General features: G+C 45.4%; 1 pseudogene, besides 1 other annotated feature; it reads right to left on the bottom strand.

The window, feature by feature from the left end:
- On the bottom strand, positions 735 to 841 carry RNU6-1031P (RNA, U6 small nuclear 1031, pseudogene; annotated as a pseudogene).
- Positions 2451 to 2633: a silencer, noted in NCBI's record as "fragment chr1:68005018-68005200 (GRCh37/hg19 assembly coordinates)". NCBI's record gives its function as "represses an EF-1alpha promoter that drives an FKBP-Casp9 reporter gene in an ReSE screen in K562 erythroleukemia cells {active_cell/tissue: K562}" and the evidence as "EXISTENCE:reporter gene assay evidence [ECO:0000049][PMID:32094911]".

The raw sequence follows: 2966 nt of genomic DNA, 5'->3' as shown, positions 1-2966 counted from the left end.
CAAACATCACGTTTTCTGAGAAGCTTTCTGGGGTAGCCAGGTTCCCCATTAATTATTCTCTTGTTGTACTCTACTTCTCCTTTTAGTATTTGCCACCATTGTAATTATACAACTACTTGATCCGTCTCTCCTGTTAGTTTATAAACTCCATGAAGGCTGGGACCAGGCTGGTCTTAGTTAGCATTCTATCCTCAGTTCTTAGCACAGAACCTGACCCATACAAGTCACTCAATGGACTTTTTTTTATTTTATTTTATAATAGCTTTGTTGAAGATAATTGATATATAATAAACTGAACATATTTAAAGTGTACAATTTGAAACCATCACCAGAATCAAGATATTGAATATACCCACCGCCCCCATGAGTTTCCTTATGCCCCTTGGTAATCTCTTTCTCCTATTCCTCTGCTTCTCCCCATTTCTAGGGTATGATTGATTTGCTCCTGTCATTATATATTAGCTTGCATTTTCTAGAATTTTATATAAATGGAATCATATAATATGTACTCATTTTTTACCTAGCTTATTTCATTTATAATTATTTTGAGTTCATCTACGTTGATGCCTATATGGACAATTCATTCCTTTCCATTGCTAAGAATTATTCCACTGTACGGATATACCAGTATACCACAACTTGTTTATCCACTAACCTGTTATTAGACATTTGGGTTGTTTCCAGGTTTTTGCGATTTCAAATAAAGCTGCTTGTGGTATTTGTGCACAAGTCTTAAAAATATAAAACACTTCACGAATTTGCATGTCATCCTTGTGCAAGGGCCATGCTAATGTTCTCTGTATCACTCCAATTTTAGTATATGTGCTGCCAAAGCAAGCACCACTCAATGGTTTTCGAGTGACTGACTGAATAAATGCATTCTCATATAGTTTGATGCCCACTGAATGCTAGCTGAAACTGGGGTCATTGTCATTGCTGTGGTTATTGATGACAGTCATGGACAGATGGCAGCAGAGCTGGTAACAGCTGCCAACTAAGCACCAGGCATTTTCTACCACCATGTGCTGTTTCTGAGAGTAGATTCAGGAAACTGGGGATGAACTGTAATCACTGATTCATTCAACAAACATTTAGGCAGTGTTAGATGAAGTGCAAAAGTGAGTAAGACAGTCTCTGCTTTTGAGGGGTTTATAGCTTAGTTGGGGTAACAGACCTAAAAACATGAAGTCACTGACATGTCAGAGGCTGTATAAATTTGCTAGGCCTGCCATAACAGAGTACCACAGACTGAATGGCTTAGAAAAACAGAATTTTACTATCTCACCATTCTGCGGGCTAGAAGTTCAAGACCAAGGTGTCAGCAGGGCCATTCGTCTCTGCTCAGCTCAAACATCACTTTCCTGGAAAAGCTTTCTGGAATTAGCCAGGTTCCCCTGTTAATTATTCTCTTGGTGTACTCTACTCCTCCCCTCTGGCGGAGCCGGAGAGGGATCTGCTCCAGGCCTCTCCCCTACTTCTGGTAGTTCCTTGGCTTGTGGAAACCTCAACTCTAATCTTCACATGGCCTGCTCCCTGTGCATGTCTGTCTCTGTGCCCAGATTTCTCCCTTTGTATAAGGACACCAGTCCTATGGGATTAGAGCTCACCCTCATGACCTCATGTTAACTTGATAACATTTATAAAGACCTTATCTCCAGATAAGGTCACATAAGGCACCAGGGGTTAGGATTCCAGCTTATCTTTTGGGGGGACACAATTCAACCCAGAACGGCGGCATGCTGGGAGGCCTGCCAGTGATCCATCGGAGCAGCAGGAGGAAATCATCCAGCGGGGTGAAAGACAGGGGAGGGGAAGAAAAGGTTTCTCAGAGCGGGTAAACCTTGGGCTGAGTCTTTAAGGGTGAATAGCTATTTCAAGCAGCCCAGGATAGAGGTGAGGGTGAGGCCATAGGTGTGGAGTGGGTAGGATAGGTGGGCAGGAACCAGATCATAAAACACATGATGAAACCACTGTTGGTTCTGAATGTCCCCAGTTCCTCAAGCCCTTAGGCATGATCCTTTCATTCAATATTCAAATGGAAAAGCTGAAACAGCCATGCCACCAACAGCGGGAAGCCCAGTATCCCTGAAGATTTGGTGTGGTTCTGGGGTTAAGGCGAGGTGGTGCTCTCCCGGCTCTGAGCTCTGTGGCCCTGATCCTCTGTCCCTCGCTGCTCTCAGCTCTGCTGCTGCAGTCGGCCCCTGAAGTCTGTCCTCTGCATCTTCCTTTCTGGGCAGCAACTCACTTCCTCCATTCCCCAAAACACCAGTAACGTCCGAGTGCTGGGATGGCCAGCTCACACTGCAGGCTTGAGAGAGCCAAAGAAGGCCACAGCACAGACAGAAAACCACTTACAGTTAAACACTGACCGTGGCGGCCCCAACTTGCATAGGCCACCTCCACCATAGGAAGGTTCTTACCAGCCAGCTTTATCTTCTTAAGCACCTGTGACCTCCCTCCACCTCCTCCGTCTCACCAGTTACAATCTCCTAGAAGCTTTTAAAAAGACCAATTCCCAGGTCAGGCGCAGTGGCTCACGCCTGTAATCCCAGCACTTTGGGAGGCCGAGGCGAGTGGATCACCTGCGTCGGGAGTTCGAGACCAGCCTGACCAACATGGAGAAAACCCGTCTCTACTAAAAATACAAGATTAGCTGGGCATGGTGGCACATGCCTGTAATCCTAGCTAGTCAGGAGGCTGAGGCAGGAGAATCTCTTGAACCCGGGAGGTGGAGGTTGTGGTGAGCCAATATCATGCTATTGCACTCCAGCCTGGGCAACAAGAGCGAGATGCTGCCAAAAAAAACAATTCCCAGTACTCATCTCAAATCATTTTAGTCTGAATCTATGAAAGTGGGGCCAGCTGGGCATGCATGTGAAAACTCCCAAGTAATTCTAGAGAATACTACTCTGAAGCTAGACCTTCCTCACATCTCCCCATCCCCACTGTTCTGGCAGCAAGGAAAG

The sequence above is a fragment of the Homo sapiens genome, chromosome 1 (assembly GCF_000001405.40).
Source record: "Homo sapiens chromosome 1, GRCh38.p14 Primary Assembly".
NCBI lineage: Eukaryota > Metazoa > Chordata > Mammalia > Primates > Hominidae > Homo > Homo sapiens.
Note: the sequence above shows the minus strand (reverse complement) of the source record. Positions and strands in the feature narration are given on the sequence as shown.